Below are 25,301 nucleotides of genomic sequence, written 5' to 3'. Positions count from 1 at the left end.
GGTTATTTTGGCCACTTTAGTACTGACTCAGATCATCATGTGGTTGATCTGAATGACTCAGCTGTTGGTTGTTGACATGACTGAAAATAAATCTAAATGCAAAATGGTCATTTTCATGGCCTCTTGTCTACATGGTTATTGACTTTGGCAATTTTGTGGTTAATGTCATGATATACCTATGATCATGGAGAATTTGGGTGATTACCCACATAAAAATGCTATAACAGTACCTGCATACCTCAGCAGAGATAGAAAAGGAGCTTCAGTGGAATCAGTGTGGAATGCACAAGCTTGCATTCAACATTCTCGCCTCAAAACAGTAGTAGCTTAGACAAAAGATTTGATGGAATTTCCACCACTTTATTCCCTTGTTTAGCATAAGCGCCTCAATCCTTTCACTGAGAAAAAGTGCAGTGGAACCTACAGGGAAGAAGCTCCATAGGCATTTTTACATTTACCTTTTCTCATTAGGGAAACTATAGCCACTTAAACTCACATTTCACATGGAGGTTATATAAAAAGTGACTGATGGGTCAATCCCATCACATTTTATAAAGGATCTATTAAAATAAGACAAGACTTTATAGTTGAGTTAAAAAGACCTGTCATTTTCCAGTATCTTTCCCTCCATTAATGCAGCTACAAAATGTTTAACATTCATTTCAAATAGTTTTGTTGCACAAGACAGATTTCAAGGTTAGCGTAATGAAATGGCTGTAAAATGCTGCACATTTAGTGTTTATAAAAGTGCATTATAAGAAGCGTATCATACCTTTTGAGGAAATGTAAGAGGAGGCGTGAAGTTAATGAAAGTAAATTAGCAACAAGAGGAAAACAGACATATAAAAAGCACTGCAAAATACGTACATCAAATAATATACAATGCTCTTGTTATCTGTAATAATAAAGAACTAGATTTTCTGAGTTAATAATAAAATATATTTTATGACCTTTGAAATGATAATAAAAGTGAGCTATGTGCTATAACCTTCATCTTGTAAGTAAATTTTATAATCTTCACTTTACTAGCTTTACAAGATGAAGAGCTGGGACTGAAAACTGCTTCTCTATTGTACAAACTCTTTATCATTCCTTTTTTTCTCTTCTTTCTTCCAAAGTATGCATCATTTCTATACTCCATTTAATGCCATGTCTGTGGCAGATTTTTAAAAAATGTGCAGAATCAATCTTTGGTTCTTACAGTCTTCTCTGATGGGAATAAGTAACCATGTCCCAAAGACTGAAAACTACAGCTTTTAGCCAGAAAAGCCATGAAGTAGTTGTAATAAAAATTCTGCTATTACCTCATTAATTTATTATTACATCACTACTACTTTGAAGTGAATTTGCAGTAAGATAAAGACAGTGGTCATACATCAGCAGAGGAAAGGGTATGCTTAAAATATAGCCAAAAATCCTATTGTCTTTGATCTCATTTATTTTATACCCTTCATGTCTTTTATTATTCTGCACATACTTTACATTTTAAAGGAGGATCTACGTGTCAACTAATCTGGACAGACCCCCTGCCCTCTTCAACAAAGTACTTCATATCTTGAAAACTTAACAGGAGAGTAACACCTTTGGAAACATCTATACACAGTAATCAGGTTCAAGTTCATCTGTTCTTTCCATTTTCTCTGTAATAATTCCCCCAACTCTCATGTCTTCAATTTGTCTAGCCCTCAGATGTCCCTGCAGCTGCACAGAAAGTCAGCAGGGGGAGCATTTGTCTGGAAGGACTTGGACTCTGGACTGCTTAGTGGTTCTATCCAAGTTTTACAAAGGAAATAAATTTCGTATTAAAAATAAAGTTACAACTTCCAGCCAATATCAGTAAGACATAGTAGAATAATACAATAAAAATATTTGCAAGAGTTGTAATCTTTAACAAAAGCAAGTTCAAGAAGGAGTGTTGCTGGTTATTTCTCATCAGAGGTCAGCTCTTTGATACTAACTGGTATTTCAACTGTATTCCCAAGGAGTTTTAGGAACTAAAATGCAAATGTTATATTAGCTGTTAGTATTTGTGAAACTAGCATGATTATGTGCAGCCAATTTAATAATGACAATAGCTATTATTTATTGAGAACTTACATGCTAGGCACTGTGCTTTTTATTTCACAGATGAAGAACTGAGGCTTAGCAAGGTTTAGTGATTTGCCCCAGGTTACACAACTGCTAAGCAGATTGTGAATCTAGTGAGGCTAACTCCAGTGCCCACGTGCTTAACCACTATGCTTCTTCCATCTGCCTGTACCCATTGCCTGTCTTCTCCTTCCCCACTCAGGGGGAAAAAGGTTGAATTGAATCTCCTCGTACCTTCCACCGACTCCTCCTAATAAATCAGTTTGTATGTGGACAAAACCTCAGGTTATTATATTGATTACCTTCTCTAGAGTTAGCTCAGCCTCCAGCTTCATGTAGAACAAACTTATTCACTCTGAACAATTATGGTAGTTCAAACCTAATATTGACATAGACTCTTTAAGCTTCTAGGTAGCTGTGAATAATTTGGTGGAAATGTAATGATGCCATCAGTTTTTCTCATGATGTCTTGTTTCTGATTTCCCAGTCTCTTACTTTGAGCATACACACTCTCGATAATATTTTAAATGCTCACTGCCTTCTTTCATTGCAAACCAGAAAAAAGGTAGAGTTTCTTTAGAGGTTGAAAGAATGGAAAACAGCTCTTATGCCTGAGCATGAGGAGAGGAATGGAACAAACAGTGCAACTTCAGGTTGGTAGTAGGAGGCAGTGTGCAGTAGTGGAAATAATCATACTGTTGCCTCTGAAAACCTCCATGACCTTGGATTTCATCACATCATCCTTCGGGTGCTGTTCCCTTGTCTGTGATATTGGAAAAAGCAGCATGAAGTGGAAAGAGCATGTTTTGGAATTGGAGCTTGGTTTGTACTCAGGCTCTGCCATTAGCTGTGTGGCTGGGCAAATTATTTAATCTGACTATCACCTTCTTCAACTTAAAAATAAGTATAATGCCCACGCTGCAGTGGTGTTTTGAGGATTAAAATCCACCTGATAATGGAGGTAAAGTGCCTATACACAGTGGGAGCTGAGGGAAGGTGGTTGTTGTCCCTCTGCCCCCAGTAAATGGAAGCAGTTGGGCTAATTTATGTCTGACATTTTCTCCTGCTCTAATACTTAAATTCTACTTTAAAATGTGGTCTCATAATTTCTTGAATTGCTTCAATTTTGAGAAAAGTCAGAGTGTATAATGCATGCTCACATTCTGGGCTTTCTGAAGAGTTTGCATTCCAACTGTGGCCATTAAACAGAAATAAAGTATACTGCTGGTGTTTGTAGTCAAGGCAACCACAAATCTTAGAGTAACAACTGTGTTATTATCAGAAATTTCTAAATCTGTTAATAGTTCTAGAAACATCACAGTGATTGCTGTTATACAATTGAGCACAAACATATAATGAATAGAGCTCTCAAGACAAGGAGAAACATGTTTCCTCTTCACTAGTATATATCAGAAATATGCTAAGAAGCATAACATTTTATTAAAATGCTTAAAGGTATAATTTATTTCGAAAGACACACAAAAGACAATATTGGAGGAGGGATCACCCATATGGTGGAAAACATAGAGCTCATAAAGGCAATAATTTATTACTTAAAAGTATAGTAAGAATAATATTTGTTACTCTAGGCTAGTGTTATTCTGTAGGTTGTGTGCCCTATTTCTGGGTTGAATTGTAACCAGAATTAAAAAAAAAATGACACAATAGAAAATATCGGAGTGCATTGCACATTGTAAGGGTAAAGTATGGTGAACCTTTGGTTATATACATATGTGTATACTGAGTTGTGATGGAAAATTTACTTCTTACTGTGGGTCATGGTAAAAAAAATTTTGAAAGCCATTGCTCTTTATGACAGTGTCTAGTTTAGTATAATAAAATACATACTTTGAAAAAAAGCATTTGATATATCTCAGTGCCAAAGAAGAGCCACAGCTTACATTCTACTATAAGACATTAACAAACCTGTTCAACTTGTCATTTTCAGGCCATAATCTTTAAGTTATTACTTAATGAATCAATATATATATAAATTCTTCTAAAAATGAGAAGAGTGCTTTTTGAGTATGCAGAGTAGTATGCAGCACTCCAATGGGGATACCACAAACTTAGTTCTGAAAATTCACTTACAGAAACCAATAAAATCTTGAGCCTTAATGACTCTTTAGTATTGTCTCAACATAGATTACCAGCCATGTTAAAAATCATTTAATTATAGGATCATTCAGAAACCATAGTCTCTTGAAGTGAACATTTCAAAAAATAAAGAAACTAGCAAAATAAACTCCCAGATAATACAAAAAATGACATACATTCTAAGCACAAAAGGAACAGGGAGTGAAATAATTTGGAGAATGTAATCAAGCAGATTGAGAAAAGCCAAAAAAAGTGTGACTTCGATAAATGAGGCATACCCCATACAGACTATTTTAAAAAGCTGCTGAATATGGTTACCAATTAGTTATGCTGCAAAGCTTCTTTTTAAATGTTTTATGGTCCAAGTGGATAATCTCAAAATGAAGTATGCTGTAAAAACATGGTAGGACTCTTCTGAGTCTTTATATTTCACATGAAAATCCCTAATGTGTTTGTATAATTGACTCTGGTCAGTATCTGGATTAATGTTCAAGTTTACCAAAACCTACAGCTTTTTTGTCTCAAAATATAAAGATGTTACAGTCACCTACAATGTATTATGATTAAGAATTCACCGCCATATTTGTTTAGGTTTAGACTAAGTTTGTGAGGCTCAGGACATTCATGTTCAATATTTTGCTTTTCTTAGATAAAATTTGCATACCATAAAATTCACCAATACAAGTGTACGATCAGTGATTTTAGTAAACGTAGAGTTGTGCAACTATCATCACGATCCAATTTTAGAGCATTTTTATCACCCTAAAAAGTTCCTTCATGCTCATTTGCAGTTAATCCTGGCAGGCCTAGGACTAGGATGAGGCAAGTGAGGCAACTTCCCCACATGCAAAGTTTAAAGGGGCATCAAAATCTCATTAATCAAGATAAATAGAATTTTAGTCCAATATTTAAAAAATTAATGCATAATATCAAAATTTTAAATAAAGCTTGGATGTGATCCCTGTACTTGCTTTACTCAGGCTCACTTGCCTCACCCTGATACTGGCCCTGATTATCCCCTCTCTGCTCCCTGCAAGCCCTTGGCAACAACTAACGTACTTTCTGTCTCTGTAGACTGCCTATTCTGGACAAATAGAATCATACAATATGAGATATTCAATAAATGGGATTCAAATGGCATGATATGTGGCCTTTTGCATCTGGCTTATTTCACTTAGCATAACTTTTTTTTTTTTTTTTTGAGACTGAGTTTTGCTCTTGTTGCCCAGGCTGGAGTGCAATGGCGCAACCTCGGCTCACTGCAATCTCCGCCTCCCAGGTTCAAGTGATTCTGCTGCCTCAGCCTCTCATGTAGCTGGGATTACAAGTGCCCACCACCATGCCCAGCTAATTTTTTGTATTTTTAGTAGAGACGGGGTTTCACCATGTTGGCCAGGCTGGTCTTGAAATCCTGACCTCAGGTGATCCACCTGCCTTGGCCTCCCAAAGTGCTGGGATAACAGGCATGAATCACCGCGCCCGGCCCAGCATAACATTTTTAAGGTTCATCCATGTTATAGATGTGTCAGTAGTCTGTTCTTTTTAATTGGTGAATAGTATTCCACTATATAGATATAAAATATTTTGTTTATTTATTCACGAGTTGATAGACATTTGGGTTGTTTCTACTTTTTTAATATTATAAAGTTACTATGAACATTTGTGTATAACTTTTTGTGTGAATATGTTTTCCTTTCTCTTAGGTAAATAGCTAAGAATAGAATTGCTGTGTTATATTTTAAGTATTTATCTTACTTGATAAGAAACTGCCAAGCTATTTTCCAATGTGGCTGTAGCATTTTGCATTCCCACTACTAGTGGATGAAAGTTCCAGTTGTTCTACATTGTCATCAGCACTTGGTATTGCCTATCTTTTTGATTGCAGCCATTCTAGAGGATGTATGGAAGCATCTCATTGTGGTTTTAATTTGCATTTCCCTAATGGCCAACAATGTTGAGTATCTTTTGTTGTGCTTATTAGCCATTTATATATCTTCTTTGGGGAAATGTCCATTCAAATCTTTTGTCCATTAAAAAATTGGATTGTCTTCTTTTTATTGAGTTGTAAGAGGTGTTATATATTCTGGATGCAAGTCCTTTATCAGACACATGATTTACTAATGTTTTCTCCCAGTCGGGTTTTTTTTTCATTTTCTTAATACGTCTTTTTAAATGCAAGGTTTTGAATTTTGATGAAGTCCAGTTTATCAAATTTTTAATGGATTGTGCTTTTTGTGTCTTATCTAAGAGCACTTTGTCCAAACCAAGGTAAAACAGATATTCTCCTATGTTTTCTTTGAGAAGTTTTATAGTTTTAACTAGAAAACTTGGGTGGGATACTATAATGGATAGTTGTAGGCAGTCTGAGAGCAAAATGAAAAAGGGAGGGCATTGAAAGGAGAAGGTAGGAGGGATTTAAAGAAGAGTTCTATGTTCTTTTAAATTTTGTCTGGATCCAATCTCTTTAGAAATGAGAAAACACTTCAGTACAATTAATTAGGAAACCATGTCTGTTTGATCTGATGAAGATTTAGTATTTACTTTATCTGAATAATATTAATATTAGTGGCAATGTTGCCTTTATCCAGAGTTCAAATGTTTGTTTTAATGTATATACAATACCATAGAAATGCATGAAAGACATTCAAAGCAACACCAATGACACACTCACTTCATGGACATAAGCAAACACAATGGCTTGATGATAATCTGTCATTTGATGGAATGTTAAATGAAAAAAATCTGGAGTTGAGATGGATGAATACCATATGTACATGAATGGAGTATGACCATAAAATGCAATGAGGCATTGAGTATGCCACAAAAACAAACCTTGGAGAAATATCACATCCTTGCTGCATAAAGGCACCCAAGGAAAACCAAAGACTGTTAAATATTCCAAATTCATTTGGAGGATCAGGAGGACTTTGTGGGTCACGAGGTTCTTCATTGTTGTCTTCCAAGTGCCATTCATAAGGACTGAACCTGCTGACTAGGAAAAGAACTACGCTGACTCCAATGTAAGCAAAGACAATGCACATCCAGATTTCATAAGCCAGGGGATCCAGAAATGAGAATACGCCTGGTTTTGATTTCTGAGGCTTCTTTATCATGATGGAGATGCCCAGGCTCATGAATGGCTTTGAAAAATCTATGACTTCTTCACGGACCAATGTTATAGTGAGTGGAGCAACAGCTATATCAGCTCTCTGAAAAAAAAGAAAAAAAAGAAAACATATATGACTTTTAGAGACAGTCTTTAATCAGTTATTTGTCGCTTAATATACTTCTTTGGTGAAAATATCAAGTCCTAAATCTTTACAACCAATTGAATTATCAATGCTTAGGTTAGAAAAGTGGTAGCATTCAGTGGGTTCTAAAGTGCTTTAACTTGATGGTAAATTAAAGAAAGGGTGCTGGCCTTTTGTCTTCTGAGACACATTGGCTTAGAGCAACCGACTCTGCTTTCTTTTCCTAATAGTGTGTTTTTGCTACCTTATAATACAACTTGTACTGCCTTGTGACATGTCACTATTTAACTCTCGTTTTCTTATTTTAATTTTCGTGTTCTTATGTCTTATCTCCCTCACTTGACTGAAAATTCTTGTGGAGCAGGCATAATATCCTATACTTCTTATATCTGCTTCACTCTACACCATGAGGTGCCACACAGGGCCACAGCAGTTTAATTCTTAGGTGTTTGCTGTCTTATGTTATTCTTGAATTTTTTTGAAAGCATATCTTTTAAAACAGGTTTTTTGAAGGCAGAGACTCAATCTTCTATTTTTGTATGTATCACTGCAACAGATTCTAAACTAAAGAAACTGTAGATGCCTAAAAAATAAGTTGTTGATTACTGTATATGACATATGCAAACATGAAAGAATTTTGCCTGGGCAATAACAAGGGTAAAACAGTTGTCAGAACACAATTTATGTAGTAAGCTATATTTTCTAGTGATAATATCAGTGTAGCACTCACATGGATTGAATCAATAAAATAAATGTCAGTAGTGCACTGCACAATTAACTTAGGCAAAGGCAGGCAATGTTTTTTATATTAATCCCTTGAAAATAGGCACTAGGATTTTCTACATTTATTTCTTTTGTTTTCTGTAATTGTTCCTTTCCAACAGTAGTAAGTCATAGTCTGAAGCCAGGCCTTAAAATGCACACAAAGAAAAATCCTTCTGACTAAGGAAAGGCTTTTGGATGGTATATCATATATGAAGTGAAAACACAAGTTTTGATCATTTTTTTTCTATGTTCAGAACAGTAATGCCTCAATACCCCTACCAAAGGGCAGAGGTAGGGAAGTCTGATATAGAGTATATTTTCAAAGAAATGAAATTTTACTCCTTTGAATTACATATGATAAACCAGTTGAGGAATACTCCTTAATTAGTTGAAAGGGAAATGCAGATGATAAACAGCTAGCTAACATTTATTGAGTGCTTATTCTATATGAGGCACTTTGCTAAGCACATTACACTTACTATGTCATTTAATTCTCACAGTAACCTTGATATTGGTACAATCACCATTCCCATGTTGGAGATGGAGAAACTAAAGCACAGAGAGGCTGGGATTAGAACCCTGGTCTTCAGATTCCAGAACCCAGTTGCTTAATGAACATAATGTTCTAACTCCATAGATACTTGCAGGTTTCTACTATACACTACTTTTATATGCAATTATCAACCTTAGCCAACCCCTCTTAGGTTCATTCCAATGCAAATTTGAGTCTTTATTCTGTGCCAAGCACTATTCTAGGTGCTAGGAATGAAGCAGTGAACAAGACAGACAAAACAGACAAAAATACTTACCTGCATGGAGGGCATCCTACATCCTTTACATCCTAGTGGAAGTTGCAGAAAGCATGGGTTTATTGAAGCCAACTGCCTACTGATCAAATCTACCTTGGAGGCTCACCACCATTTCAAACTCATCATTTCTAAAATTTAACCCATCTATCCCCCCAAAAGTAGATTCTCCTCTGTGTCTGTGGATGATGCTTATTTCAAACTTTTCCCAGTTCCTAATCCTTATCAGTCCTATCCTCTCTGCAGATGATCTTGCCTCTTTCTTTACTGAGAAGATGGAAGCCATTTGATATAAGCTCTATCATCTCAGTTCCCCCTCCCCCAACTTTGTCAACATATTGCAGCATCTTTATACATTTCTTCTGTGTGTTTCCATCTCACAGAAAGTGACACTTTCTAAGATTTGATCAACTTATTCCATGCATTCTATATTTCTCTGTCGCTTCTTAAAACCCAGCTCTATCTACTATCTCTTTTACATCTTTAATTTTTCCCTTCTCCACTAATCTATTCCGGTGGCTCTTAAAGTATGGGTCCTAGATTAGCAGCAAAAGAGTCACCTGGGAACTTGTTAGAAATGCCAGTTCAACAGACACATGAAAAAATGCTCATCATCACTGGTCGTCAGAGAAATGCAAATCAAAACCACAATGAGATACCATCTCACACAGTTAGAATGGCGATCATTAAAAAGTCAGGAAACAACAGATGCTGGAGAGGATGTGGAGAAATAGGAACGCTTTTACACTGTTGTTGGGAGTGTAAATTAGTTCAACCATCGTGGAAGACAGTGTGGCAATTCTTCAAGAATATAGAACTAGAAATACCATTTGACCCAGTGATCCCATTACTGGGTATGTATCTAAAGGATTATAAGTCATGCTACTATAAAGACACATGCACATGTATGTTTATTGCGGCACTATTCACAATAGCAAAGACTTGGAACCAACCCAAATGTCCATCAATGATAGACTGGATTAAGAAAATGTGGCACATATACACCATGGAATACTATGCATCCATAAAAAAGGATGAGTTCATGTCCTTTGCAGGGACATGGATGAAGCTGGAAGCCATCATTCTCAGCAAACTATCAAAAGGACAGAAAACCAAACACCACATGTTCTCACTCATAGGTGGGAGTTGAACAATGAGAACACATGGTCACAGGTGGGGGAACACCACACACTGGGGCCTGTCGGGGGTGGGGGGCTGGGGGAGGGATAGCATTAGGAAAAATGCCTAACGTAAATGACGTGTTGATTGGTGCAGCAAACCAACATGGCACATGTATACCTATGTAACAAACCTGCACGTTGTGCACGTGTACCCTAGAACTTAAAGTATAATAAAAAAAATAAAAAAGAAAAAGAAAAAGAAATGCCAGTTCTCGGGCTCCACCCCAGATGTATGGGATGAGAAATTGTGGAGGCGTGAGACTCATGTGGCCTTCCAGTTTGTTGTAATGCTTGCTATAATTTGAAAATCATTGATCTGTTTTATTCACTTAAAATCATTTTCAGGTAATCCTATTTACTAACAGACAAAAATGAAACAGAAAACACTCCTCCCACCTTTTGATCCTGCTGCCTTCTTAACCACATTACATCCCTCCCTAACACCACCAGTATTATTGAAAAAAGACAGCTTTACTGTCTTGATATCAACACCACTTTCTCCTTATACCCCTGAGACTTAATTTCCAGCCCCTCCAAATTACTGAAATTGTTTCTTGAATTATATACTTGGCTACTAAATTCAAATATCTTCCTTCAGACATTAACTGCTTGTGTGATGCCATTGGCCTTTTGCACTATGTACGTGCTTTCCTTAGCTCTCTGTTATGAAAGACTACAGGTTCTCCTCCTACCTTTCTGAATGTTCCTTCTTTGACTTTCCTTCCTAGTTCTGCTCTCTCAATTAAGGTGCACCTTTGTACCCCAAGGGACTATTCAGAGTGCTTGTCTTAGGAGATAATCAATGAAGGTTTGTTCTTTAAGGTTCTGTCCTTCACTTTCATCCCTCAGTATTGTTACCTGTGGTTTCAACTCTCATCTCATCGTGGCTAACTTCTGAATTTCCAGTTCCACGTTACTAACTAGAGGGGAGCCAAAGACAAATTTTCATCTATTTTACCCTTTTGCCTGAAGCTAGACCTGGTCATAGTAAAAAAGGGTACTGAGGAGAATGAGTTGGCCAGAAAGCTAGCAGAGTGTTTTTTTTTTTTTTTTTTTTTTTTTTTTTTTTTTTTTTGGCAGAGAGAGTCTGAATCAGTTAGAAAGAGTCTTGTCATGCCAAGAGAATTCACAGATAAAGCCACTTCCTCTCTTTGCCAACATGTCTGTCTCCTGCTCAGAGCATGCAAATACCCCTCTAGTATCATTTCTCACTTGATTTCATTTGAATTTAATTACTTAATTTAACCAGTATTTTTCATCTTTTAAGTCTAAAAGATAGTTCTAGGAGAAATTGTTACTTGTTTGTTTTAGAAAAAAGAAATAAGAAGGCATTCACATGAGAAAATTATTTTGGAATGAATTTAAGGAATTTGGGGTCTTTTCTAGAAGGTACAGAAAGGAGTTTGAGAATCTTGACCCCTTTAAAAAAACCCTACTTGGTAATTGAAACACCTACTACATGGTAAGCACCACTAAATACTAACAAGACGTGGCCAGATGGATAAAGCAGGACTTTTTGTTGTCTGATTCCCAGGAACATTCATCAAAAGAACAGATTCCCAAAGAAGGCCATTCCTAGTTTGAAGTACTTCTGAAATCACAAAAGACAACAGGAAGAATCATCTGCTTCCCTTAGGCACTGCCTTTTTTTTTCCTCAGCCTGGCATTTCTGTATTTTTTTTTTCTGGATTGTTTCTTTCTAAGGAGATTTTTCAAAAAATGTGGAATTTGTCTATGTTTTGGAGGGTGCTCTCCCAATCAAGAATGGCATTAAATCTGTGCTCAGTTGTACCTCACTGATGTAGACCTGACTCCAAAAGGAGAATTCCCCATGATGAACCTTAAAAAATACCTATTACAGATGGAAAAAGGCAAGGGAATAGCAAAAAGCAGGTGGAAGAAGGCAGGTGGAAGAAGGCTCAAGGACAGCTTGAGGCAGAATCTGTAGCTCCCTTCCCTTCTATTGGTAGGAGACTTAGCAACTCTTCTCCTTTCTTGTATGTTTGGTAAGAAACCAAGCAGCAGAACTCATGTCAGCTCAGAGCCAGCCTTGGCAAAGCCCTTGCCCTCTATCACCACTATTCCCACAGGCAGTTTTTGGCCGCATGTAAGTTTTCTTTTGAAAAGTGTCTGTTCATGTCCTTTGCCCACTTTTTTATGGGGTTGTTTTTTGTCCACCAAACCCCTGTGATATGCAATTTACTTATATTACAAACCTGCACATGTACCCCTGAACGTAAAATAAATGTTAAAATAAGTTGTTGTGATAATTGGTTATTTCAGAGCATAGGACCTGCTTGGCATAATTTATGTGGGGCAATCATGTTATGGCAGTCCCAAGAGAGCTCAGTAGGTATTTTGAACACTAGTTAGTTATATGCTCCACCCTGTAACTAACTAGCATCCAAAAATAACCATTGAGCTCTCCTGGGATTGCCATAGCAAGAAGGTAAAGGGAGAGGTCACTTTCAAGGCAACTTAAAGATTGAGGAGGCCCACACTGATGAAAAACTGAAAAAGGTAAGTCCTCAAATGGAATTCCTTTCCTAGTCTCTGCTCTTATGAAAGCCAGCTGTAGGCTGGGAGAGAGAGTGGTAAGAATTATGGATGGGGTTAGGGAGTAGGTGAAATTCTGACTCAACAATGAAGTGCCTCTCTTGGGGTGTCCTGAATCACTCCAGTGGCCAGTTGTCCTCAAGCCTCTGCTTGCACTGGTAATAGCAGTAGGCAAGTTATTTTCAGAAACCTAGGTGGGTAAGTGTGTAGTAGTGGTATGAGGGTGCTCCAATTGACAGACAAAATCAAGCAAATGGAAAGAGCACAGAGTAAGAGTTTACTAGTACTTTTGCTTGCATCTTGACTACTTAAAGGATTTTAATCAAGCAGCCTAAATGTGGCTGTGTGGGCTCAGTAAACACACTGAATTAGGTTTGAATTTTCCACTCACCAGTTGCAAACATGGAGCAACTGCATTATTGGAGAGGATTTAGCTTGAGGGGATTTATAATCCTTTTCATAGGTGGGTTGCCAAAGTTGTAAATGTTATAAAACTTAAAAACCAACAAACTCATATGTGTAGGGCTGATGCACTTAAGAATCTGACAGGTTTTAGCCAGAGATGACACTGACTTTAAACGTAATTTTAATCTCTTTGAGATTGCAAGCTTGTTATATCTTTAAGAATTTTCATCTGATTATCTGATACAAAACTTGTAACCCACCATGAGACTACGAATGAGCAGGAGCTTGTCAGACACCATTTTAAAACACTTTCTGAAAGCAGGGAAGGGGACAGGAGAGAGGAAGTAGACAATGTATTGATGTGTAATCATAATGTACTATATGTTATCCAAGAGAAGAAGCAGACATGACCTGACCCTTTGTCCCTGTATCAACCACAGGGCTCTAGTTGCCTTTGGCAGACATTTCCTTTGGAAAGTTGATATGTGTTGAAAACAGGAGTGGGGCAGAATCAAGCTAGACAATAGGAATATAATTGCTGTGTGCTGGGGGACAAGACTTAAACTGATTTATTGGCAGTACTCTATGGGATGTTTACTGTCTGCAATTGTTAAGATCTGGAGAAAAGAATGAGGCTTATTTAAATCTGTGCAACAACAAGCAGTGTCACAACAGAATATCCTAATTTCTTTATCCAGAACAGGTATCCCCGACTGGATCTATTGATTAGGGCTCCTTGTCCTTGGGGAGCTGAGAGAGTTAAAGACAATATCAAGATAAAAAAGTGTCTCTGTAGCTGGATGAAGGCCTTGTGAGACTACGTTTAGCTGGAAATATTTTCCCCACTCTTTCTGCTTCGAATGGCATACTTCATGTGTCCTTAATGCTCCTTCCTGGAGGTTACATGCATCATTTGAAGGAGGGGGGACTTTTATCAAATCATCAGCCCTTCTGCCAAAGCCCAGTATAATCACCTGAAGAATATCTGGCATCTGTTACTGGACCCTTGCTTCTCTGCCTTTTAGCTGGAAGGACAAATCGACTCTCTGCCTTTCTTAATGGAAAATGAATCCAGCTTAGGATAGTGACGACCTAAGAGATAATTTCTTCTAGGCAGAGCAATGTCAGTGCAAATAGTATCTGTAAAGTTGCCATGTGTCCTGGGAGCGTGAAGGAGTCTGGGGACACCCAGGGAATATGACCTATAATCAACCATCCCTGCAGCCCCATTACTACCCCCAGGCTCTCTGCTATCTTCTAAGTCAGAAGAAGCAATTTAAGCAGCAGCTTGTCAAGCCTTTCCCAAAGCAACCCCCTTCTTCTTTATCCTTAGTTGTAACTGCTAGGAACATAAGGAACATGGCAGTTGCCCACTGGGAGGTGTTCTGTTAATTGGGGCCTCAATTTCCTTTTAGCCTTTCTCCTGACTCTCTTTTTCCCTTAGATCATATCTCCTCTCTAAGGGCAGAACCCCCAGCTGTCTATATTGGGTTTTCAAATATTTCGAGTGATAACTAGAAATGTGGATTACATTATCCTGGAGGCCATAAATAAGCAGGATGAGTATCTTGGATGAAAAATAGCAAAATAAGTATCTTAGATGGAAAAGTTTATAATCCAACTAGATTGTAAGCCCCTTAGAGCCAGGTGGGGATGCTGTATCTGATTGATACAACACCAATATTTCCATAATCTCACAAGTTTAGTGAACTGAGCCAGTGTGACCCAGTGGACAGAGCACTAGACCATGAGTCACAAAACCTGTGTTGCCAAGTTGTGGGATTTTGTGACTTTGTCCAATCCTGCTGCCACTGCTGTACCTGTGTCCTTTATCAGGCTTTGGATTCCTGATTACCTGAGGGGCAGTTCTGATGTCTGATCTTGGCTGGTCCCCATATGCATTTGTAAAAAATGAATGGTAAGGTAGGATTAAGGATGTTTAAGAGCCCTGCTAGCAAAAAATGCTGTTTTTAAGTGCCCTCAAAACATATGGTATTTGGAAGCCATAAAAACTTGTGGTCTGTAAGCCATTTGATCTGGGACTGTTACCATGTAGTGGTGTTACAGACATCCAGCTCAAAATCAAAACTGCTAAAAGCAGGTGGACAGTTTCAAGTCCATGATGTTCTGAAGGGCTTACATAATGGGGCACATTGTGTCCTACTGAGGTTTGTTTCAAAAATAGCCTTCTTAGAGATACAAGGTGCCCCAACATCAACCTGATTTGAATTTCCTTAGAAAAAAACCTATTTATAAATCATCTGAAAAGAGGCTGATTGGCTTCCTTATTCTTTAGCAAATTTAATTCATTTTGATTCTTTCTTGAAACTTTATGACTGACACTGAAATCTCCCTTGCAGAGCTTTCTTCATCTCTGATTTTTTTCATTCTTTCCACTCTGCTCTGTTTTACATACTAAAAGCATAAGAGAAATACCCTTAAGATAAAGCAGTGCCTATCTGTATAGGTTTCATGTTCACTGCAAGAAATATTTCCCTGTTCTCCATCTTTTTGCTCATTAAGAACTTAGAGAAATCATTAGGGGTTTTCTGCTCTTCTTTTTTTAAAGCAACTTGCAAACCACAAGAGGCCAGGCCTGCCAGAAATGAAAGCCTGTGTTTTCATTTTTCTCCATTTCTGTCATTGATAGAGAAGTTGAAAACTTCCCAATGCCAAAAGACTAAAACTTCTAAATGAAGATGAAGACACATTTAGCTCATGAGATCATCCTCTTTAACAGAGAGCTTTTACTCCAAGCATGATAAGAATGTATATTTTTCATAGCCACAGGTTTTAGAGGAAAATGGAATTTGGCAGTCTTCTCCGATGGGTTGGTTTGCTGTAGTTCTCTGGAATCACCTCCTGTTATAAGCCCAGAAAGCATCAGAAAGTTGTTTTAGGCAGGGGAAGGAGGAGGACATTTCTGTAAGAGCCTCCCCGGCTATTGCTTTTGTCTTTAGTAGAAAGAACTAAAGGGAAAAGATGGGAAGGTTCCTATGGGAACACTTTTACTATTCAGAAGTGGAGAGAAGGCATCTAAGTTGCTAAACAAATGAGGGACTCTAATACTCAAGCTCCCTCACTCACAAGTAGACAAATTGGAATGAGGAAGAGATATGTGGAGATTAAATGAGTGCAGTACAGGGAACATGCTGGAGGAGAAAACAAATCCAGTGAGAAAATTGGTCTTTGTCTGAACAATGTCAATAAGTCTGCCTTGCTCTATGTCACTGTGTGTAATGTCTTCCTCAATGCCAGGAGAGCAGTGATCTATTTACAGAGAGTGACAGGAGAAATATGGTCATTCAGTTGTGATGGGGTGGTAGAGTTCATGGTATAGCTCACATCGGATAACCTGGGCTAGTAGAAACTTACACCTTAGCCTGGGCGTGGTGACTCACACCTGTAATCCCGGCACTTTAGGAGGCCGAGGCAGGTAGATCACTTGAGGTCAGGAGTTTGAGACCAACCTGGCCAACATGGTGAAACCCCATCTCTACTAAAAAATATTTTTAATATTAGCTGGGCAAGGTGGCAGGTGCCTGTAGTCCCAGCTACTCAGGAACTTGAGGCAGGAGAATCGCTTGAACCTGGGAGGCAGAGGTTGCAGTGAGCCAAGATCATGCCACTGCACTCTAGCCTGGTTGACAGAGCAAGACTCTGTCTCAAAAATAAATAAATAATAAATAAAATAAAAAGACACTTACGCCTTAAATTTCTTGCCATGCTGTTGTTGCCAAACACTCTTCTCTCCAGAATGACTAAGGCACCATAAGCCTTTCTAATAAATTTCAACTATCTTTCAGAATGGGATGGGCCTGAAACCACACTTTAGCTGTTGGGCAGATAGTGTAATGGTTAAAAAGCATGGACTTCAGAGTCAAAGATCTGGGTTAAAGTTATTGTATCACTGTTACAGTTTGAATATTTGTGTCCCCACGTCCCCCCCCCCCCCGCAACCAAGTCATATGTTGAAATCCTAACCCCCAAGGTGATGGTATTAGGAAGTGGGGCTTTGGGAGGTGATTAGGTCATGGGAGTGAAGCCCTCATAAATGGAACTTATAGTGTCCTTATAAAAGAGGCCCAAGAGGGACCCCTTACCCTTTCCATCATGTGAGAACACAGGAAGAAGGTACCATCTATGAGCCTGAAAGTGGCCCTCACGAGACAATGAATCTCCCTTGATCTTGGACTTCCCAGCCTCCAGAACTGTGAAAAACAAATTCCTGTTGTTTATAAGTGACCCAGTTTATGGTGTTTTATTATAGCAGTCCAAACAAACTAAGATAGTCACTGTAAACTGTTTGGTCTTTAGCATGTGACTTCACCTCTCTAGGCTTCAATTTTCTCACATGTAGAAAGAGTTTAATAATGACACCTTCCCCAGAGGCGTGTTGTGAGGATTAAATTACATATAAGAGCACTTAGTACAGTATCTGGCAGCCAGTAAATATGCAACAAATGGTAGCTAATAATGGCAGTAGTAGTAGTAATAGTAGTGGTAATAGTAGTAGTAGTAATAGAAATAGTAATGATATTACAAGATTATATCCCACCATGAACTCAATTTAATGAATACTGGCTTAGGCATTACTGTATGCCAGGCATTGATTCATTAAAGCAAAAAGTGAGCATTTACTATGTATCAGGTAATGTGCCAAGAGCAAGGGTGAGCTGTAAGCAAGACAAGACCTCTTGAAGCCTAAGTGTTGGGGAGATGAGGAACAGGAAAGAGAAGAAAACCTTATCAACAACTTGGAAAGTAAAAGATTAGAGCCATGTCAAGATGGTTCAGAGCTTCTCAGGGTCCTCAGAAATCATGACTGGGTGCTCTGACCCTTGTTCAGCCCTCTCTGCACTGGTGTTGGAAATTCTTCTCTTTCTTACTGCTGGATTCACTTGAATCTCATCTGCCACTTAGCCCTGCCTCAGTTCCCAGGACCGATCTTGACCCAAGACAGGAGATGATGGCTCCAGGCCCGTAGATGGAGGCTGAGGTTCAAGTTGCCTTGCTGTTCATCTGACTAGAGGATGGTGCTCCAGTTTTTATATCTGGGGTCCAGCTTTGCTTTTGTTACCTTTCTGTGCCCTTATTTTTAGAAATGAGCTTCCGACTTTGTGGTTCCTCCCAAAGGCCTGTTCCAAGAACTTATTTAGTGACCCCAGTACTCTCATATGATTGGAGAGCTATACCTTATTCTTGCTGGTTTCCATCCCAAGCACTAGAGTCCTTCTCCTGAACCTCAGTCCAATAAATAAATAACCTGGTTGTTTGCTTCTTGCCAGCTGGAGCTTCTCAGTATCTCTACCTCCTAGATTCCTCTGTCTTCCCCTTACTTAGTGTAGATATTGTCTAGACAGAGAGTTATTATTACAGGTAATCTTTGTTTGTTAGAACTAAACCTTTGCCACCACCCACTGCACTTGGGTTAGTTCTCTAGTGACCGGTTTACTGCATGGGCAGTTTTTCTGTCCAGTTCTGCTTATTTACATGTGCCTCATTAAGCTGCCCAAGATCTGTCATTCACAATCAGAGGCCAAAACCATTTAATACTAAGTGAACCAGGAGCTCTGAAGATATCACTGTACCTTTCTTAAAAGCCCTAATTGCCCATATTAATTCTTTTGCAGTTGGACTATAGATAAGCCCCTGGCAGAGCCATTCTGTTCATTTTTCATTCATTAATTCAGCAAGGATTTATTGAATGTCTATGTTTCAGACTGTGTGATATTGAAATGAATCAGCTACATCTTCTGTCCTCGAGGAGTTCATAGTCTAGTAGAACAGTGGAACTTGTAAATGGATCATTACAATACAGACTTAGAAGTACTATATGAATATGGAAAGGAAGGAAGCAAAAAGCAGGGGTACCTAACCCAGACTGCAGGCAAGTAGATGCGAATAGAGAAGGTTTTCTGAAACAAGTATCACTGCTGTGTTTCAGAGGACTAGTAGGTGGTATTAGCTGCTGAAGAGACACAAAAGTACTTCCAGGCTTATACTAAGTGAGAGCTCAGCACCTTCAGGGAACAACACTTACTTTTCTATAGCTGGAACATTGGGTGTGAGGGGGAAAGAGTACAGGATGAAGCTAGAGAGGTAGGCGGGTGCTAGATTATAAAGTGCCTTATTTGCCATGTGAAGGAATTTGAATTTCATCCTGATTGTTAAAGTGGGAAATTACAGTAATGTGGAGATCTAATTTGCCAGGGTAAGAACAGACGCAGGGTAACAAGTTAAATGACTGATAGATGTTAAGAACCCTAATTAAGGTGACGATGGTGGGGGTGAAGAGTGTGTCTAGATTTGAGAGACTTAAAAGTAGAATTCATAGGACATGGTGACTGACTAGATAAGAGGGGAACAATGAGGAAAGATGATGAGGTTGCTTAGGCAAAGTTGCTTAGGCAACTATGTGGGTGGTAATTCTGCTGCCTGAGCTAGAGAACACAGAAGGAACAGATTTTAAATAGAGGGCAGGCTGTGCTTAATGTTGCCAAATAAAATCCCCCAATTCTATTTTCCTTTTAGTAAAATAATCCTGTTGTCCAAAGGATACTACTGACAACCTACCTTTACAGAGCGCAACTGTAGAAGAATATATTTTTCTTGTAGACTATATGTAAACTATACAATTGGATAAACACTGCACTTGAAAATTAAATCTTCTCTCTTCTTTGTTAATTGGAAAGCACAGAATAAATGAAAACAGAATTGGAAAAAACTCACCCCATAGACAAGTTCCCCAACCATGCCGTTCCATATTTTAGTCTCTGGATCCCTTGCACCATATTTCCCGTCACCAACGATGGACAATTTGTATTTGATCCTTACATGTTTGGCTATTTCATAGGCTAGGTCTACACAATAGCCTTCATATCGTTCATTTCCTTCCAGTTGCTCATGGTTCTTCTTGTACATTACATATGGTGATTCCTTTGGGACCAGAAGCAAGATAAAAGGATTACTCCTATACATTTTTCTAAGAGAAGATAAATGCAATAATTTTTCCCCTCTGTGACTATTGAGGTTTGGTATGTGAAAAAGGCCTTTAAATTGTTACTTAGTAAACAGAAGAGCTTTAATTGAGTATTCATTGGGTCACTTTTTTTTTTTTTTTTTTGGTAGGGGGAGTCCTTAACTGGTAATTTAAGGAAGCAGAGAAGGATTTCAGTTCTTTTTGAGAGTTTGAAAGATGGCCCAGTTTTCACCTATCAAGTCTTTGATTTCATCAAATTTGGCAGACTTAGTTACATGATGGTGAAGTGCCTTTCATTTCTCAAGATTTATTATGTAGGAATTGCAGGTAGTTGAGGCAAAGCCCTGGGGAAGCATTGTGATCCCTGTGAGGTCAGCGTCCGTGGCATTTACATTTTTATATCTCCAGGGCCTAGTATAGTACTTAAGACAAAGGGAGTATTTGATATGTATGCTTAGATGAAAGGCAAACTTCAGCCTAGTCTCCATTCAGTTAGTCATACTTTCACACCTAGAGATGTATTTGTTTTTAACCCAGGTTTGTACTTCATTCAGTAAAAACAAACCAGCTTCTAGAAAAGTGTTTTAAAACTAAATGAGAATACCATCTCACATTTTAAGTGCTTTGAGTTTTGCAGAAAACTTCTTCGTGTAGTGAACTGTGCCTTGAAACGGGCTTATGACATGGGTAGGTGATTATTATTATACCCCTTTCATAAATGAAGAAACAACAACCTGAGGCTCAGAGAAGTTGTGACTTGCACAGTTTTACAGGTTAGTGGTAGACCTAATTTTAGAATCCTAATGTACTCTCTCCTCCACACAATGCTGCTTCCCCCACAATGAAGAATTAGGTTTCAAGTCCAGATGAAGCATCAGTCCTATGCGGGCGGGCATGGAGGCGGGGAGAAAGAGGAAAATGATAATCTAAAACTGTTCTAAATTCCTATTCTTTTTCTTTCTCTCTTTTTGTTAAATGACATTCTGTTCATCATCATGGCAAGATACTTTGAGAGTTTCCTGAGCTTCCCTGTTGGAAGTTTTTACTGTTTGAACTTGAGGTCTTTTCTACTGGTGGAAAAATACTTTTCAGAAAACGGAAGTCTTGCTGGACAGAAAGCCCACCTACCTTCTGTTCACACTTACCAGAATGGTAGTCACTACTATGGTCCGATTCTCTGAGGATGCACTGTCATTGCTGATTTGCTGATCTGAGAAAGGCACAAACCTTTCATACTCATTCCAGTAGCCAGCCTAGAAAGAGAAGACATTTGACCTGGATGCCTATTTTTCCCTCAGAAAAGTACTGCATGAAATTGAAGTGCTGTTGTGGAACAAAACTTTCTTGAGCTCTATAAGGATTGACATCCTGTCTCCCCGGGTCTTGTAATTCCCACCAGGACCCCCAACACTGACACATAGGTGTGCTATTCCTTCATCCTGGAGGTTCCCATCTCCCACTCATCCTTACTGATATTTTGTAAAATAATAATACTTATTTTCTTACATCCAAATGCTGTCCTCTTTCAAGAGTCCTTTTCTTTAAATGTCTGTTTTGGTTACTTACTTTTCGAGAGCCACTGACTTTCATTTCATACACATCGATGGTATAATTTGTCCTACGTCCATAAGTGTCAAATTGAATATTTCCAGTCATTCCTTGTACTTGCACCTGGTAGAAAGGGAAAATTTAAAATTTAAAAATAGCACGGCATTATTGCCTTCTAAGTCTCTGGGATGAGGTCTGCTGACAGATCTTGGAATCTTGAAGAATTATTATTGCAAGTCATTGAGCTCTATCCACCAGATCGAGTCTATACAAGATCTTCATTTCCTCCACAGTATTTTCTTGGCATGCCTTTTAGTTTTGAAGCATTGAGTAGGTGTAAGATGCTGTTACTTATATAATATAATGAGGGCTCTACCGCCACTTTTTCAAGGACCTGAAATTTCCACTAGCCCCTTCCTAAAAATACTCTGCAGGCTACCCCCTTAACTAGGGTAATGTATTCTAAACTGAGTTCCTTGGGGGCCATGGCTGTGTCTTATCTTAATATTTCCCATATCTGAACATAATCTGGTTTCAGCAGCATGGGCACTGTTACACCTGGACTCATATCGTAGCTTCAATTATTAATTGAATGACCTTCGGCATGTTCTTAATGCTTTTTTACCCCAGTGTCTTAATCTGTAAGATTGAAAATCCTAGTAGTATCTATCTTTCAGAGTTATTGGGAAGATTAGAGAAGATATATATATATATATATATACACACACACATATAAACGTAATGTTTAGAACAGTATGTGGCATCTATTAAGCATCAGAATACATGCTAGCTATATTAATTATTATTAACCAAAATGGATTTAGTTCTGTTTCTTGAGAGGGTTACACATTTGCCAGCTACTACAGTGACAGGGATGAGCTTTCCCTCTTATTTAACCCACACTCAGCTACAGACAGGTAACAGACAAGAGAGCTAAGCCATAGAGGGATAATCCAAAGACTGATGAAATTTATTAAGCCTAAGGGGTCAGGAGTATGGAGCACTAGACAAGAAATGTAGAAGTACTGGAAGCCAGAACACTTGTTTGGGATGCCAAATGCCGATTTCATGTATGGAACAATTTTTCCTGGGCCTGGGCTCAGTATTATGAATTAGCAAGAGGCCATCTCTTCAGGGTAGATAGATTCTTTACCTATTTTACAGTGCAGGGACACTGGATGAAATACCCTCTACAAATATAAATAATTGTTGCTAACCACTTGCATTACTCATCTGGCAAGTAAAGGTCAAAGACTTTGCTTCAAAGAGAAAGAATATATCTCATTTTCCTAGTATGAAAGAATGGAATTGTTTTTCATCACTTATGGAAAATGACAAGCTGTCAAACAAGTCAGAGGTGGCAGTGGGTTTGTGTTGCAGAAAGAAAAATGTTGTCAAATATTAGGGAACATTTTTTAAAGGGAAAGGGGCTTGTTCACCACCAGTAGGAGACTGTGGAATTCCTGTTGAAAGGAAAATGCTCCAATCTGATGAACTGAAAACAAGATGATTGTCCAACTGATCCAACAAACCTAAGCACTATTGTTAGCTTAGGCTTGCAGAGAAGGTGGCATCACACTTCTAGTTAGAGAAAAGACCTTTGTTGAGATAGAAATTACTTATCCAGTGGGATGAGACTGATACATAATGTGAGCATGAAGGGCTCTTTATACTCTATTTTGAGCACTGAATTCTGATAGAAGAGTTAGACAGGGCAGAGACAAGGGCAATAGGAACTTATTAAGGAAAGCCTTCATTAGTGAAAATAGCTAGGGCTTTAAGTCTCATTAAGAGTTGTCTATTTCTAAAGACCCAACCTATCTGAATATGATATATGAACTGGAGAATAGTCAAGGCATAGTCCAACAGATTCCAGACGCATGATTTGAACGTTTGGTGACCAGAAGTAGAATTGGACTACCACTCAGAGAAATCTATTTTTAAGGATGTGGTCCAGTATTGAATGTTAGTGACAGTTTCCCCGCATCCCGTCTGGGATCCCTTCTTTAATTCATAGCATCCTGTGCAAGACTTAGACATAACATTTTTATAATCTATGTGTTTCTAACTTTCCTACTGGATTAGGAGCATCTCGAGATGAGAGACATTTTTTTACCTCTGTTCTCAGCAACTAATGTTGTGCCTGGGATAGAGCAGATCCTTAATAAATGTTGATTGAACAAGTCTCAAAGACTTAGAATCTGTGACAGATATGTCAGTAGACTGTGCTGGGCTGATCTTTGCATTATTTGCAGATTGTGAGGAGAATGATTACCCAATTTGCAAGTGGCTTTAAGATATTTTAAAGCATTTGTTTACATATTAACAATTTAAATGTGTGCACTCCTCATCTTATTTCTTGCTTGCATACTAATATGGAGCCTGATACATAGTCATGGGTGCTCAATAAATATTTACTGAATGAATGTTGTGCTTATTTATTCATTAAAACAGGCCCCTTAGGAGCCTCTGCCAGGCAATGATTTTGTTTGCCAGATTTCTTTTGAAGGAAGAGAATAATTTATTGAGAAACAACTATGTGCTAGTCACAATGAGGGATGCTTTACATTATGCAGTCTCAATTTTAATTAATTCAAATAAAATGGGATTTCTTTTAATGTAGTAAAACATTTAGTACTTCAGACTAGCCTCCCTTACAGTCCCTCTGAGTAGAGCAGTTTTACTGAGGCACTGTCTACTTTTGGAAAAAATAGATGCCTTCCAGCCTCTCTGGAGCAATAGAGATTGTCCTATAGAAAGGTAATGTATTGTTTTGGTTGAGTGTCTGGTCATTAGGGCCTGGGGAGGAAGGTTACCTGGCTTATAACTTGAGCTTTATCAGTGAGGTAGACATGCAGAAACTTTTCTGTGCAGTAGTATGATCAATCTATTTTTTTTTCCTAGCCCAATTGGTATCTTATCCTTCATTCTGATAGCCAGTTTTCTATTTGGGAAGGTAGTTATTTGTGTCATGAATAGGGAGTCAATTGGAGATGCTGGCTCTTGCCCCTTGAGGTTTTGTTGATGGAAACTCCTTTTGATTCACTCTGAGGGAGTTTTATATTTCACTCATCATTATGTTTCACCTGACAATACAAATCTTGTAACTGCTATGAAGGTTGAATTTAATTAACTGCTCTTCAAAATTGTACAGTGCTACCTCCATAAAACTACACTTAGGGCATTTGTTAAGGAACTGACATAATGACATAAAAATCTGCATGATGGGAAAATGAGTCATATCTCTTTCTTGAAGAGAGACACAAGGGCTACTAACCCCTTTTGATTGAATGCTTCCAACTTGGCAAATTTAAGGCATCAATAAGAGAGCCAGCTACACAAAATGATGTATGTTATGAGGCCGTTACAAGTTCTTCCTTGCTGGGTTGCACACAGAATTATCTTATCTTTGCCCATCTCTTTGTTGATTTGGATGTCCCAAACATCAGGATAACTAAATAAGTAGAAATAAGAGATTCTTGTACTCTTGAAAGCTCATTTTAATACATGCAGGCACATGTAGCATAAAGCAAAATATTCAGGACAGAGCTCTTGCTTGGAAAACTGCAATGAATGGGTGATGCTACTTCTGGTATAAATAATGAAATCTGTTCAAAGGACA

General features: G+C 38.2%; 1 protein-coding gene across 2 annotated transcripts in view, besides 1 other annotated feature; it reads right to left on the bottom strand.

Moving 5' to 3' along the window:
• GRIA3 (glutamate ionotropic receptor AMPA type subunit 3) overlaps positions 1-25,301 on the bottom strand; it is a 306,638-nt gene that overhangs the window by 66,120 nt on the left and 215,217 nt on the right. For both annotated transcript variants that reach the window (NM_000828.5, NM_007325.5), the window contains exons 8-11: positions 21,698-21,802; positions 21,277-21,384; positions 19,882-20,088; positions 7,018-7,394 (exon numbers count right to left, since the gene is read on the bottom strand). In NM_000828.5, coding sequence (NP_000819.4) covers positions 7,018-7,394; positions 19,882-20,088; positions 21,277-21,384; positions 21,698-21,802 — 797 coding nt within the window. The remainder of the gene's footprint in view (positions 1-7,017; positions 7,395-19,881; positions 20,089-21,276; positions 21,385-21,697; positions 21,803-25,301) is intronic.
• Positions 63-212: an enhancer, noted in NCBI's record as "active region_29908". NCBI's record gives its function as "activates an Ori minimal core promoter by ATAC-STARR-seq in GM12878 lymphoblastoid cells {active_cell/tissue: GM12878}" and the evidence as "EXISTENCE:reporter gene assay evidence [ECO:0000049][PMID:35858748]".

This window comes from Homo sapiens, chromosome X (assembly GCF_000001405.40).
Source record: "Homo sapiens chromosome X, GRCh38.p14 Primary Assembly".
Lineage (NCBI taxonomy): Eukaryota > Metazoa > Chordata > Mammalia > Primates > Hominidae > Homo > Homo sapiens.
The sequence above is the reverse complement of the archived record's forward strand: the minus strand, read 5'-3'. Positions and strand labels throughout refer to the sequence as shown.